The following is a 14,170-nucleotide window of genomic DNA, read 5'->3' as shown; positions in this document are numbered from 1 at the left end:
TCCGTATTACCAGTACATGGTAAATAGGTCAATATAACATATGTATATAAATTCTTATTTATATTAAACATGGTTAAATTTTAATCTCCCATCTGTTTAAACATGGGAGATTCAACATACTCATTTAGCTCCCTTTCCCTTGAAATGCCACTAAATTGATAGCAGAGTTTTTATTATAAAAAGGCAAACCCACAGAAATAAGAAAATGGGAGATGCTTAACAGCTACCAGTTTTGGAAAATGAGAATGCAGACAGACATTTAGTAAACTTAGCAAACCTGAGGAAGCTAAATCCTAGGCTGGCAGTGGGAATTGGAGAAGCAACCTGATTAGTAGCTCAGAATCTCCGTAAGGCTTGGTAATTGCCAACTGCAGGAACCTCTGGAAGTGGAGGTGAAGCTAAACACAGAAGTGGTTGAAAGTCTGTTTCAGAAGCAGTTAGAGCTCCTTAGCTCCCTCAGTGCTAGCCCAAGACTGGAGGTTTGTTATTTGGCGAGGATGAAACAGAGGGCCTCTGGACTAGGGAAAACGCAGACCTTGCTGAGGGTGAGCTGCTGTCATGAAAGCAGAGGAGTTGAGTAGTTTAAATTTTGGACAGTCCAGCCTTTTTCCTCAACTCACCTCCCAGATCACTAGCAGCCAGGTGCTTGTCTTCCTGACAGGAGATTGGAAGAGCGTTCTGTGGGGGATGTGATCAGCATAAGAAAATAAACCCAAAGGTACTGACTTCAGGGAACCCCAGTCCAACTGCTTGGCCACATGCCTCCACGAGCAGGATCACAGTCAGGAAGCCTCACCCAGGCATGCAGCTTTTTTGTGTCCCACTTTTAAACAAAAGCAGAAAACGAAGTTTTGCTGTTCATTTGAAGAAGGGAGCTAACGTGAAAGACAAGTGGAAGCAAATGAAGAAAGCAGCTTGTAAGAAACAGATTATAGTGTAAAGAAGAGAATCTAAAAAACTATTTTTAATATCTTCAGAGAAAAATAGATACTGCATCCATAAAACAAGTATAGAATGCTATAAAAAGGAACACTCAAAAACAACAGAGCTTATGAATATAACAAATATTAGTAATGAAAAACTTAATTGAAAATGACAATTGAAGAAATTCCCAGAATGTCAGTTATAAAAGCAAAGAGATGTAAAATAATACAGAAAAATACAAGAAAATTAGATGATAGCCTAGGAGTTCCCAGACTGTAATAATAAGAGTTTCAGAAAAAGAAAATGGGAATGGAGGGAGGGTGTGGGCGGCAAGCCATCCAGGTGCTGAGGCAAGAGACCGAGGACACGAGCTGTTCCAGTATAATAAAATATAAAACAAGAATAGTTATACCAGATGTAGATCTTAGATATGATTATATATGAATATCATTAATCATTAGTTTGTAGCAATTACTCTATATTCCAATATTATAATAATCCTCGCTCTATAATCATAACCTAGGAAAAACCAGGCCATACAGAGATAGGAGCTGAGGGGACACAGTGAGAAGTGACCAGAAGACAAGAGTGCGAACCTTCTGTTATGCCCGGACAGGGCCACCAGAGGGCTCCTTGGTCTAGCGGTAACGCCAGCATCTGGGAAGACGCCCGTTGCCAGGCGGACCGAGGTCTAGCAGTAGCGTAAGTGTCAAGGGAAAACACCGGCTACTTAGCAGAGGGAAAGGGAGTCTCCCTTTCCCCGGGGGAGTTTAGAGAAGACTCTGCTCCTCCACCTTTTGTGGAGGGCCTGACATTAGTCAGGCTCGCCTGCAGTTATCCGGAGGCCTAACCGTCTCCCTGTGATGCTGTGCTTCGGTGGTCATGCTCCTAGTCCGCCTTCATGTTCCATCCTGTACACCTGGCTCTGCCTTCTAGATAGCAGTAGTCAATTAGTGAAAGTACTAAAAGTCTCTAATAAGCAGAAATAATGGCGTAAGCTGTCTCTCTGTCTCCCTCTCTCTCTCTGCCTCAGCTGCCAGGCAGGAAAGGGCCCCCTGTCCAGTTGACACGTGACCCACATGACCTTACCTATCACTGGAGATGACTCACACTCTTTACCCTGCCCCTTTTGCTTTGTATCCAATAAATAACAGTGCAGCCAGACATTCGGGGCCACTACTGGGCTCCGCGCATTGGTAGTAGTGGTCCCCTGGGCCCAGCTGTCTTTTCTTTTATCTCTTTGTCTTGTGTCTTTATTTCTGCACTCTCTCGTCGCCACACACGGGGAGAAACTCACCGACCCTATGGGGCTGGACCCTACAGGAAGGGAAGATGAAGAAGTTGACAAATGAATTGTTGAAGATGTCTGAGAGCTGAAAGATTTGGGTAGGAGTTTTTAAGATTGGAAGGATTCACTAAGTACCCAACCCTGTGGATAAAAATAGATCCAAACCCAGTACTGAAATGTGAAGTTTCAATACATGGAGAGAGAAACTCCTACAAGCTTCTAGAGAGAAAACGCAGATTGCACATAAAGAAACAGAATAGCAACACTGGAAGCCAGAAGACGGTGAAGCTGTGCCTTTTGAGCAAAAATATTTTCCAACTTAGAATTCTAAAACAGCCAAATAGTTAAATAAGAGGGTAGAATGATCAGATATTCAAAGTTTCAAAAATTTTATCTTCCATATAGCCTTTCACAGGAGCTACTAAAGGGTGTGTTCCTGCAGAGCAAGGGAAGAACCTGAGAAAAAAGATAGGAGACCAGGAAACAGGGGGCCCAGCATGGGAGAAAACCACCCCAGCAGGTGGAGAAGGGAGGCTCCAAGACCTGAGCTGTGCAGCAGGCCCAGAGGTCAGGCCGCACAGGCAGGAGCAGGCCCAGAGGTCAGGCTGCACAGGCAGGAGAAGGCCCAGAGATCAGGCCGTACAGGCAGGAGCAGGCCCAGAGGTCCGGCCGCACAGGCAGGAACAGGCCCAGAGGTCCGGCCGCACAGGCAGGAGCAGCAGACAGCAAGATGAAGCTGGTGGAACACCTACTCTACTGGAACATCACCTGAGGAGATTATACCATTTATAGTGGAGCTTAGGATTGAATTAGGTGGGAAACAAAGCAAATTGAGAAACAAGGCAATGATTAGCTTCAAGGAAAACAAAAGCATCATCCTGGAAAGAAACAAGAAATCATAACAGACTGCATGGCTCAGCCATGAAGAACTTTCACATAGTTCAGCAGTGCCAACTCTGAAAAGTTCTCTATCCTAAATTAAAATTAACTAGATAGACAGGATGGAAGAGAAGGAAGGTAGGGGAAGAGGGAGAAGCAGGCAGTAGGAGAAATGGGGGAATGGAGGGGAGGGAAAGTTTCTATTGTGTACCTTTTTGTATATATAGTTTTGATTTTTTTTAACCATTGAGTGATTTTTTTAAACCAAAAACTTTTTAATGAGAATTATTATTTGTCATAGAGTTTTCAACAACTAATTTCCATAAAAATCTGTTCTGTTCTCTCTTTCTCTCTTCAGAAATTAAAACACAGAGCACGGGGCTGTTCACCTGACATCAGACAAATAGACCTGGATGTCAACCGCACATTTCGGGACCACATTATGTTTAGAGACAGATATGGTGTTAAGTGAGTAAAGTTTAATATTATGAAATGTTAATCGCATTTATAAATAGTCTTTATTAACTTAAAATTAGAATGCCTTTATAGACTGTAATTTCGATTTAGGTCCTAAAGGTTTAAGCTTTTGCAGATCATTTGCGTCCATGTTGTGTGAAACTTAAGATCTAATTTAACTTAAATTTTTTAACCTTTGATATAGCACGTGCTATAAAATTGGTAAAGACTCATTTTATAATCTGGGGATTCTTAGAAATGTAGTAGATACTTTTATTAGAAGTCATAGAAGAATGACAGTGTGTGTAAAAACTTTGTCAGTGATCAATGTATCTCTATAACCTTGACCCCCATGCATAAATGAAACTTTTTTTAAAAAAGGGACATGAAATGAGAAATTAATGAATTGATACATCATTGCTATGACAACTTATAAATGAAAAGTACAGTTTTGCTGATCTCTGTATCAGTCAGAGAGTCTAATCAGGAAACAGAAACCAATAGGAGATATATGTTAGGACATTTCAAGGTATTGGCTTCTCCAGCTGTCGGGGCTGATTAGGCAAGGCCAAAATCCACAGGGCAGGCCATGGGAAAGGACAGTCTGGGCCTCGGGGATGAGCTGAAGCTGCTGGCCACAGGCAGAGTTTCTTCTTCAGGGAAACCTCAAATCTGCCCTTAAGGCCTTTCAACAGATTGAATGAGGCCTGCCCAGGTCTTCTAGGATAATCTCTCCTACTTAAAGTTAACAGATTATGGATTTTTATCAGTCTACAAAATACGTTCCCAGTGACACCTAGATCAGTGTTTTGTATATCTGGGGATTGTTGTTTAGCCAAGTTGACACCCAAAGCCAACCACTGCAGTCCAGCCTTGTCAACTTGGCACTCACACACACCACCTTAAACAATTTCCAAGTAAGATAGTAACCAAGTCATCCTTCCATCTAACATGATACCATTATTCTGCTCACAGCTGAAATGTGCTAATTCTTTCCCCACGTGAGGATGCCAAGTCTTTGGGAGATGATCACACTTCTGCTTTAGTATCCTGTAACTTACACACTGTGGTATAAAGCTGACTGTTATTAAGATACCTTATGTTAGATGATAAGGTAAAAGAGAGGGAAGAAGAAAATATTTGTTGGTATATATACAAGCACATTTACAAAAAAATAAGGAAGAAATACTCATAATAATTGCAGCAATCCCTTCTGTGACTGGTCATGTGGTCACAGGTGGTGTTTATAATGCCACGTTTCACTGCCCATTCCATATTCCCTTTGCCCTCAGCAAGCACTCAGATGGTTGTGGTTCTTTACCTAGAGGGATAACTCAAACCTTTCTTCCTGAAAATCTGAACCTAGCAGTTCTGCCTGAATTGGTAGTTTTCCATTGACTTTCATCACAGGGCTCAGTGATACTAGTAAGAGATGCCCCAAGTGTTCTCCTGCATTCCAGATGTACTCCTCCTTGTGTCTGTTGTGTCATAGCAACCCATGTTCCCCTTAGTAATCAGGATAATCCCCCCAGCCCACACAGCCACGTCCTTCTTTGCCTGTTGGTTCAGAGGCATAAGGAGCCCAAAGTGGTTGGGTGGCAGTTTCAGCTTCCAGGTCAGTGGAATCACTGTTATGTCTCATGGTGGAAGCATTCCTCCTTTTGGAACTAAGATCTCTCGACCAGCAGAACCCAAGCTTGCAGGGCCAAGAAGCAAACGCTTTGCTAGTGGATCTCTAGAGAGAATGATGAGTGGAGCCACTCCTACTTGCAGCCTTTGAATCTTGGATCCTTGAATCCTGGCTATGGGAAAAACAGCACCTTGAATTGGAGCCTGATATGGAGCATATTCAGCATCCCAAGGACATCACCCTTTCCCTGCAGGGTATTGTACCTTGCTGGCAATGTCACTGAGCCTTCAAAAGGCCATTCCACCATTCTGTCAAGCCAGCTGCTTCTATCAGAAGGGTCTCAAAGTGAGATAGATCAGCAAAAGAAGGCAACAAATTTTAGGAATTTTGAAGTGTTTTGTGTTTTCTTGGTATAAATCCTTTCAGAATGAATATTATCTAGTCTTGAATTTAGACTTTTTAGAGTGTTGTTTGAATTTGAACTTGGGATAATTTATTACATTAGTAATTTTATCTGGATTATCTGTTTTCAGTCAGTCTTTGGTTTATTTTTTTAAGTTTGTAATTTTTAAAATATGTGAAATTACTAAATTGTATTTAATGTAAATTTTTTTCTCTAGGCAACAATCCTTATTCCATGTGCTTGCTGCCTATTCTATTTATAACACGGTAAGTTGGGGCCTGCCTGCCCAAGGTCTTTGAGTTGTATTCTGAGGTACTCCCTACTTAGCAGGGCCCTGTGGGCACATTTCTGCATCTCAGAGCTAGGTGGTCTCCATGGTCTCTTTAGCTCTGTGGATCTTTTTAAGCTGAAACCCTGTGATAACCCTAGGGCCTTAGAACAGAGCTGATTCTGAAGTGGAAGAACCTAAATATGACCACAGTATGCCAGTGAGTCTCACCTTTTCTCTCTCCCTCCATATTGTTTTGCTTTGTAATGTTTTGTGTTGTTTTGTTTTTATTTTTAAGCAGATATACAGGGTAGAAGGACAGGAAGTGGGTGGCTTGGTTAATTTTTGCTTGACTTTTTATAACTCTCTTTGCTCTTGGGAGGTTACTTTTCACAATCACATTTATCTATTAGGTGAGGTCCAAACAAGATAACTATGCCCTTACTGGCTATCCCCAGGAGGAGGCTAAACTCTTCGGTAATAGACATGCTCTTCTTAAGGCATTCAGCATTGTTGGGGGAGAAGATAATCTGGGATAGATTAATTTGTGTTGGACTTAATGTGGGTGTTAAATGAATACTTGTTGACTAGGTCCCAGGGAGGACCTTTGAACCTTGGGATGTATAATTTCTATTGTAGTTAAAACCTTTAAATTATAAGAACAGAAATTCGCTCAAACTAGGAAAAGTTAAAAAGGGGTTTTTAAAGGGACATCTCATAGGAAGGAAGCACTAGTTGGGCCTCACCGGAATTGGAGCTGGAAGGTGGGAAGCGTCTGGTGAGAAGGAAAGCTGCACCTTCCATCTCTCCCATTCTGGGGGCCACTCAGTATCTCAGATGATCTCTGTGAACTGTTCAGTTCACTGTTTCTCTCTCCAGATTGCTTCCTTTGCCTACTGGCCAGTTATACTGCGGCTCAGATTGCACCCACAGATTCATTGTGAGCATTCTGTTCCAGTACGTACCCCCATCTGATTACAGTCTCTGGCTTTGTTCACATTTCATAGAGACAGTGTCTGATGAGTCAGTGCAACCAAATAACTGTTCCCCTGGGGTCAGCTGTCCTCTTCTGGTCCATTAGCTGTGGTTCCTGTGGCACAAGCATGAATCCTTAAGGCCACATCATAAGCAGGGACTATGGGGAGAGTGGGTATTTCTTAGAGAGGAGGCATAGACTGTGCATGGGCATCCCAAGATGTGTCTGCTTAAGGGTTCAGAAATCTAGAGGAGACAAGACAGCATACTGGGTGTTGTAGAAGGGGAGACTTTGCCAGCAACTGAGCAAAGAAGAGGAATAGTGAGCTAAGAATCATACATAAAGTGAAATAAATATTATCACTCTTTAAAGAAAGTGTGACAGTATTGAAGACCGAGTCCAATAAAAATATGTAGCAATTTAGACTTTGTACCTGTGCATTTATTTTTTAGCACAATTTTATTCTCTTATGTGGCATAATACTGTAAAGAGTATAGTATTTGTCTCTAGAATGGACCATTAAATGATGTGTGTAGGCATTTTCTGGTTTTTATAGAGTAGCTTTTTCTCTGTACATATGCATGTAATTCGACTGAACTCCCCAGCTTCTGTGTTCCCCTTTGCTCCCCAGGAAGTCGGGTATTGTCAGGGGATGAGCCAGATCACAGCTTTACTCCTCATGTATATGAACGAGGAAGATGCCTTCTGGGCCCTGGTCAAACTCTTCTCAGGCCCTAAACATGCCATGCATGGTAAGAAAACCCTGTGCTTTATCTAAACAATCAAGGTAGGGAAAAAAGTAGATTAAAACAAAACCAAAGATGCTTGCAAGAGTTACATACAGCAAATTTAATGTCTCAGGGCTCGTTGAGTTCATTAGTATTTGTTACTAGTTTCTTCTTTCATTTTTCATTATTGAACTTTTCTAAAACATTTACATTTATTTTCCTTTGTCTTTACTCCAAGGTATATTGTTGGCACTTTAAAATTCTTCCTTACTTGCCCTTGGTCAAAAGAAACTAATTTAGGTTTGGAGGAATTTAAGAACAGGTATATTATTGGGAGAAATAAAAGATGCCTTTTAATCAAAACTTTTAGATGGTCATGAAATTATCATTTTAGTGAAATGTTTACCATTGACTGGATATTGTGATATATAACAACTTGTCAAAAAAACAGTAATTGAGAAATGACACTTAGGTTTTTAAAGAAAAGGTAATAATTAAGTAGTTTTATATTTCAAGTGTAGTTTTTGTTTTTTCACATAAAATTGGTTCCACTTTAAATAAAAGGTTGATAACGTGTTCTAGGCACTCGATTATTTAATATCTCAGAACCTGCTGATTTTTTGGTTTTCAAGTTAACACTGTTTATAATAACTGTTTCCTTGTTTTTGCCAAATTAAGCAATAAACTTTATTTCAGAGAGTTTAGATTACAACTGTTGAGACAGGGTCTTGCTCTGTCACCCAGGCTGGAGTGCAGTGGTGTGACTCATTGCAGTCTTGACCTGGGATCAAGCCATCCTCCCGCCTCATTAGCCTCTCTAGTATCCGGAACCACACAGGCATGTGCCTCCATGCCTGGCTAATTTTTTAAATTTTTTGTAGAGATGAGGTCTCCTTATGTTGAGTAGGCTGGTCTCAGTCTCCTGGACTCAAGTGAACCTCCCGCCTCAGCCTCCCAAAATACTGGGATTACAGGTGTGAGCCACAGCCCCCGCCCTTAGATCACAACTTGTCTTGGAAATAAAAGTGGCATTTGTTCATATAATGCAAAATTATTTTCCCAGTGCCATCAAATTTAAATGATTTTAACACTAGTTATTCTAAGTGTTAATATCAAATTTAAAATAATTTTAACACTAGTTATTCTAAGAATGGATCTTCCAAGTTCAGTTTGTGAATAAGCTTTGTGTGGTGAGGAACCTGCTATATATTTAAAGTACTGTTTTAATATTTTCAAAATTATGACTTTCTATAGCCCATTGTTTGTGAAGTCTCACACTCTGACCATGTGAGGATATTGTGTGTGTGTGGAAGAGTGAGGGGGGTATGTATGTGTTTGCATTTGTCTTTCTCCCTTAGTGTTTCTTGCCAATTACTTAACAAATATCATCTGCATGGTAACTGGGTCTGGGCGCTTTGCATCTAGTAAATAGGCTCTAAAAGTAAGACATGTTATTATATTGAGTTGCCATCCAGTAGGCAGTATCATTCCAAAAGGCATCTTGAAGAAAGCCGCTCTTCCCTGTCAGTCTTTATTTTGCTTTCCCGTGGGATTGTGTTGCTGATCTGTCTTGAGGTACAATAGAATGCAAATTTAACTGGTATGTAATTGTGTCCAAGACTGTCCAATTTTAGGAAGTGGTCATTTCTTTTAAACCTATTTGATAGCTTACCTTCAGCAATTATTGTCACTAGACTAATCTATAAAACAATATTAATTCTACTATCCTAACTACTTAGAATGTAGTTTGGCTCATTATTAAGGGTCAGTTTATACTTAGAGATGTTTGTTTCTATGTCTGCCTATGAAATTTTATAACTAAAGGTTACTTTCTAGTGTGAAGGTGGTTTCACTTATAAATGTGTGGAATTGAAGCTAAGGATGAAAATATAAAATATGAGATCTGGAACATCAGTGGAAAATGAAGAACTGTTAGGCTTCTTAGCATTCTTGAGCTAGTTATTACTGAACTGTATTGACTTTTCGAAAATTAGACTTTTCTTGAAAATTTTTCAACTTCCATTCCTATCAAATTGACTATGAAAGTGGCACTGATAGATACGGATTTTTTTTTTTTAATGAAACAATTTCACTGAAAAATATTACTAAAGGAGAAATAGAATTTCTGTCTCTGGAAATTTTTACACACACCCTAGAAAACTGAGAACTAGTTAAGAAATAATTCTGCCCAGTAGATTGTAAAGCACCATTGCCCAATAGCATGTGCCTCAGGTTTTTGGTGGAATAGAGTTTCATTTTGGGGCAGCAGACTTTCTGGGGGGAAAATGGACTCCAAGATCACATAAGTGTGGGAGACTGAGTGAAAGAAAAACAAGTTTCATTAAGTCTAAAAGGCAAGAACATTAATAAGCTAAAATGCCTCATGAATATCTAAGAAGGATGTAAATGTGTCCTCTGGTTTCTTTTTCAAAAGCATAGAACGTCTGTTAACATCTTTCAGAGTTGCATGGAACCCAGGTTGGATCCTAATGTAGAAGAATCATCAAGTCTGTTGAGTGGACTTTCTTTTTAATGGATTGTATAGAATATCATGAAGAAAAATAGATGTAAAGTTCAATGAGTTAAATACACAAAATTAATGCTAACCATTTGTAATTTGTTACTTCTTAGATATAGATTATATTGTATAGTCACTTGGGATAAAATACCATTTTGGATATAACATTGATCATCTAGTGCCTGTATTTTTAGCAGATGTTAAATACAGCTTTTTAGGAAAGGATTAAAAAGCGATTTAAAACTTTGGGAACTTTATACTAATGAAATTCTTAGAGTAAGCCTGAAAAAAGTAATAAATTGTTATTTAACATATTAAGAGTAAAACAAAATGACTAGTCAGGGTTGGAATAATATATTACAAATATATGCATTTAAGATATGGCCCAATATCTTAAAAGAACAGATAATCTTGATAAATGTCTTCAGTGTCCTTTTTTTTTTTTTTTTAAGGTTTCCCTTTAAATTCAAAAATACAAAGTTATAGAAGATCTTTAGCAAACAAATCCTAGGCTAAAAGTTTCATTACCCAAAGCTTATATACAGTTTTTTCCTAGGTGGGGAGAAAAAATATTTTGGTAACTACTGAATGTTTCTTTTTATTTTTGACAGTTACAAATGAAATATGTTGTGTTTTAAGATTGGAGGGTTTTGTTGGTATTGTTTATGAAATGTTGTTTTTATGTTTGTATTCTAGGCTTTTTTGTCCAAGGTTTTCCTAAACTCTTGAGGTTTCAAGAACATCATGAAAAAATACTGAACAAATTTCTGTCCAAGCTTAAGCAACACTTGGTAGGTAGATGTGCCACTGACTTACACCCACCTACCCACCCCCCAAAAAAAGCTGGGATAATTAAATTGTCTTTGGTCCAATTACCTTATTAATTTATAGTGTCATCCATTTCATTTACTATGCAGTTATAATTCCCAGTTGTTTACAAACCATTAGATTTGTAAAATTTAATATTGACAGGCTATCACAGTTCTTACTGAGGGATTTGAACTTCTTTGAAGCTAATGATACAAACAATGTGATAATTTAAAGATATGGGATCTCCCAGTTGTTTTGGAGGTTTTTTCATTGTACAAAAAATATTTTTTCAGGGTCACAGAAACTCGTTGTTAGTGAACTATATATATGCCTTACTATAAAACACAGTAGTTTAGTAAAACAAAGAAAGCTCACTGTAAAATATATTAAAGAGAATCTAATTGTTGTATTACAGTCCTAAGAGGAATTTATTCTTGGAGTGATTTTGAGAAGTAAATGTGTTTAGCTTTGATAGCTGCATCCAACAGCCTTCCTAACTTAGTATTATTTTGTTAAATTTAGTTTGCTACAATCCATAAATTGTGAGCTCTTTGTTTTTTCAGGATTCTCAAGAAATCTACACAAGTTTTTACACAATGAAATGGTTTTTTCAGTGTTTCCTTGATCGTGTAAGTATTTATTTACAAAACTCAGTCATAAAATTATAAATACAAGGTGAGGGGAAGCTGTTAACCCTATTTTTGTTTTGTTTTGCTTTTAATTGTAGACTCCCTTTACACTAAACCTCAGAATATGGGATATCTACATCTTTGAAGGAGAACGAGTTCTTACTGCTATGTCTTACACCATCTTAAAATTACACAAAAGTAAGAAAATGCTTAAACTCTTAAAATTTCATTAAAAATTGAGGCTTATTTAACCTTGATTTCTCATTCCCCACCCACTTCAACTTCATTGTCTTTTAATAGTGGTTTAAATTTTTTTTGAAAATCAGTGGAGAAATTATCATCAATTGGTAATGTACTTTTGTAAGTTCTTTCTCATGACTAGAAGCTTACTTCACTGCAAAGGTCTTTGGTTCTTTTCTGTTTATATTAGTGTCATTTTCACACTTTTATAGAATGCAGTTAGTTGGTTTCACTAGTAATATTTTTCGTTAAGTATTTGTTTCCACTGGGATCCCTTGTCCTTTTCATCAGTCTGAATCTCAAGTTTGCAGTAAGAGAAGGAAGACCAAAGAAACCAGGCCCCTTAGTTCAAAAGGCTGGAGAGAACGTTTTCTATTACTGTTTCCTTCATCCAGGGAGAATAGCACCCAGCTGAACTGTGGTTGGGAGCACACAGACCCACTTCTCTACCTCAGTGCATTATGGCCTCTGGGGCAAGTTCAGCCAGTGTCTATAGGCAGATAAATGGAGCAAGATTAAAAAAAAAAAAAAACTGGAGAATTTTTAGTCTTCAGTTGCAATATATTTAAGGGCTCTATAAATTTGATATGTTATGCCTTACTTTAAAATAAAGAAATGAGATTTTTTTTCATGAAGAACCTTGTTCATCTTTAAAGTTTCAATTCAGCCTTAAAAATTCTGTGACTTCTCTTGTAGCTATGCAGAAAAGAAAATCATTGAAAGCTCTAGAGCTTCATACGTACACGTACTTCTAATCCAGGTCATACCACATAGTTTCATGTTCATTGTGCACTCAACTCTCTTAGGTTATTCTTGAATGATCTGTTGCGCTTCCCAACTAAATTATAAACTAATTGAGTGCACAGGGTCTTGTTTATAGTTTTTCTCTCTGCTGTGCTTGGCATTGTTCTAAGTACATGTTACGGACTTTACTATAAGATTGGTTGGTTGCTTACTTGAAAAGCATGGACTGCAGGAGTGCCAGATTATCCATACTTTAGATAGGAATGAAAATGCCCTTTAAAAGCACTTTTGTTATGTTTAGTTTTTTCAAGAAAAGGACTCAGAATTGTTGTGGTTCACTTCCCTTATACTCAGTTCTTCTTTCCCCAACTAATGCACCAGAACAAAACAATTGACTATGTGTCTTCCAGGATTCAAGTCTGTCATCTGATCTCGTGAAATCTCTTTTCCTTCCTCCCCGCACCGGCCCCCCAACACTGCCTTTTGCCTCCCCACCCCCCACCTCTCTCCCTCCCTCCCTACCCCTCTCCCCCCTCTCCCCCTCCCCCTCTCCCTCCCCTTCTCCCCCCCTCTCCCCCTCCCCCCTCCCCCTCTCTCCCTCTCTTCCTCTCTCCCTGCCTCTCTCCCTCCCTCCCTCCCTCTCTCTCTCCCTCTCTCTCTTCTCCTCTCCCTCTCTCCCTCTCTCCCTCCCCTCCCCCCCCACTTTCTTTCTGGATTGTTAAGGGATCAAAATAGAGAACAGAAGTACAGTTTTTATTAAGAGACATTAGCTTAATGTTCCCTCAAGAATGAGGAAGTAGAAACATACTTCTTTGTAGCTCTCATCTGCTTCTTAAATTGTTCTACTTATATGACCCTTGATTAATTTTGACAAGTAAAAAGTTTCTTTACCCTTGTAAATAAATGTTAAGCATAGCAACTGCTTTACATGCTACCGTATCATTAGACTAAATGAGCTGTGGACAAATCTGCTGCTGTGTATTTTTCTTGGTTAGAGACTTACGTGAAGTTCCGTCTCCACCATATAAAGCTTCCGAAATGGAAGGGTGGCTGCGGGATGGGAGGAGATGCTGGTTCAAGTTTCAGTTAGACAGTAGGAGTAAGCTCTGGAGAGCTGTCATACAGCATGGTGACTATAATTTATAATAATGTACAGTATACTTGAAAATTGCTGAGAGTACATCTTAAATGTTCTCACTATGGACAGATAAGTATGTGAGGTAATGATGTGTCAATTAGCTTGACTTAGTCATTCCACAGTGTATACATATATCAAAACATTGTCTACCACAGATATATACAATTTGTCATTAGCCAATTAAAAAAAAGAAAAACTCTTTCTGGGCATATTAACCAATAGTTAGCTAAAGCTCATAAGAAATTTTTTCCTTTTTCTTTTTTTTCTTACTGATTGTCTTAAAAATACGTTGTTACTGGAGGTTCATCACACAGTGGTTTTAAATAATAAAAAATCAAAAACCACCTAAATGACCATTAATAGAAGACTGTTTAAGTAAATTACAATGCTTACATATAGTACACATCATATTTGTTGAAATGAGAGATATCAGTGATACATTAGTGAATGGGGAAAAAAGCAAAAAGGGGAATAACTTGAAAAGTATAATTTGGATTCTTCAATTGATATACATAAACACTTGTAAATACCTGGATCTA

The 14,170-nt window shown here is 38.6% G+C and overlaps 1 protein-coding gene across 13 annotated transcripts in view; it reads left to right on the top strand.

Moving 5' to 3' along the window:
- The window catches only part of USP6NL (USP6 N-terminal like), a 151,141-nt gene that overhangs the window by 114,973 nt on the left and 21,998 nt on the right, over window positions 1–14,170 (top strand). For 11 of the 13 annotated variants that reach the window (XM_024448263.2, NM_001391960.1, NM_001391961.1 and 8 more), the window contains 6 exons: window positions 3,450–3,559; window positions 5,798–5,846; window positions 7,456–7,576; window positions 10,767–10,861; window positions 11,444–11,509; window positions 11,608–11,707. In XM_024448263.2, coding sequence (XP_024304031.1) covers window positions 3,450–3,559; window positions 5,798–5,846; window positions 7,456–7,576; window positions 10,767–10,861; window positions 11,444–11,509; window positions 11,608–11,707 — 541 coding nt within the window. Of the gene's footprint in view, window positions 1–1,537; window positions 1,627–1,918; window positions 2,311–3,449; window positions 3,560–5,797; window positions 5,847–7,455; window positions 7,577–10,766; window positions 10,862–11,443; window positions 11,510–11,607; window positions 11,708–14,170 lie in introns of those variants that run through there. The other 2 variants (XM_047426038.1, XM_011519763.3) reach the window with 2 other exon arrangements.

The sequence above is a fragment of the Homo sapiens genome, chromosome 10, assembly GCF_000001405.40.
Source record: "Homo sapiens chromosome 10, GRCh38.p14 Primary Assembly".
Classification (NCBI taxonomy): domain Eukaryota; kingdom Metazoa; phylum Chordata; class Mammalia; order Primates; family Hominidae; genus Homo; species Homo sapiens.
Note: the sequence above shows the minus strand (reverse complement) of the source record. Positions and strands in the feature narration are given on the sequence as shown.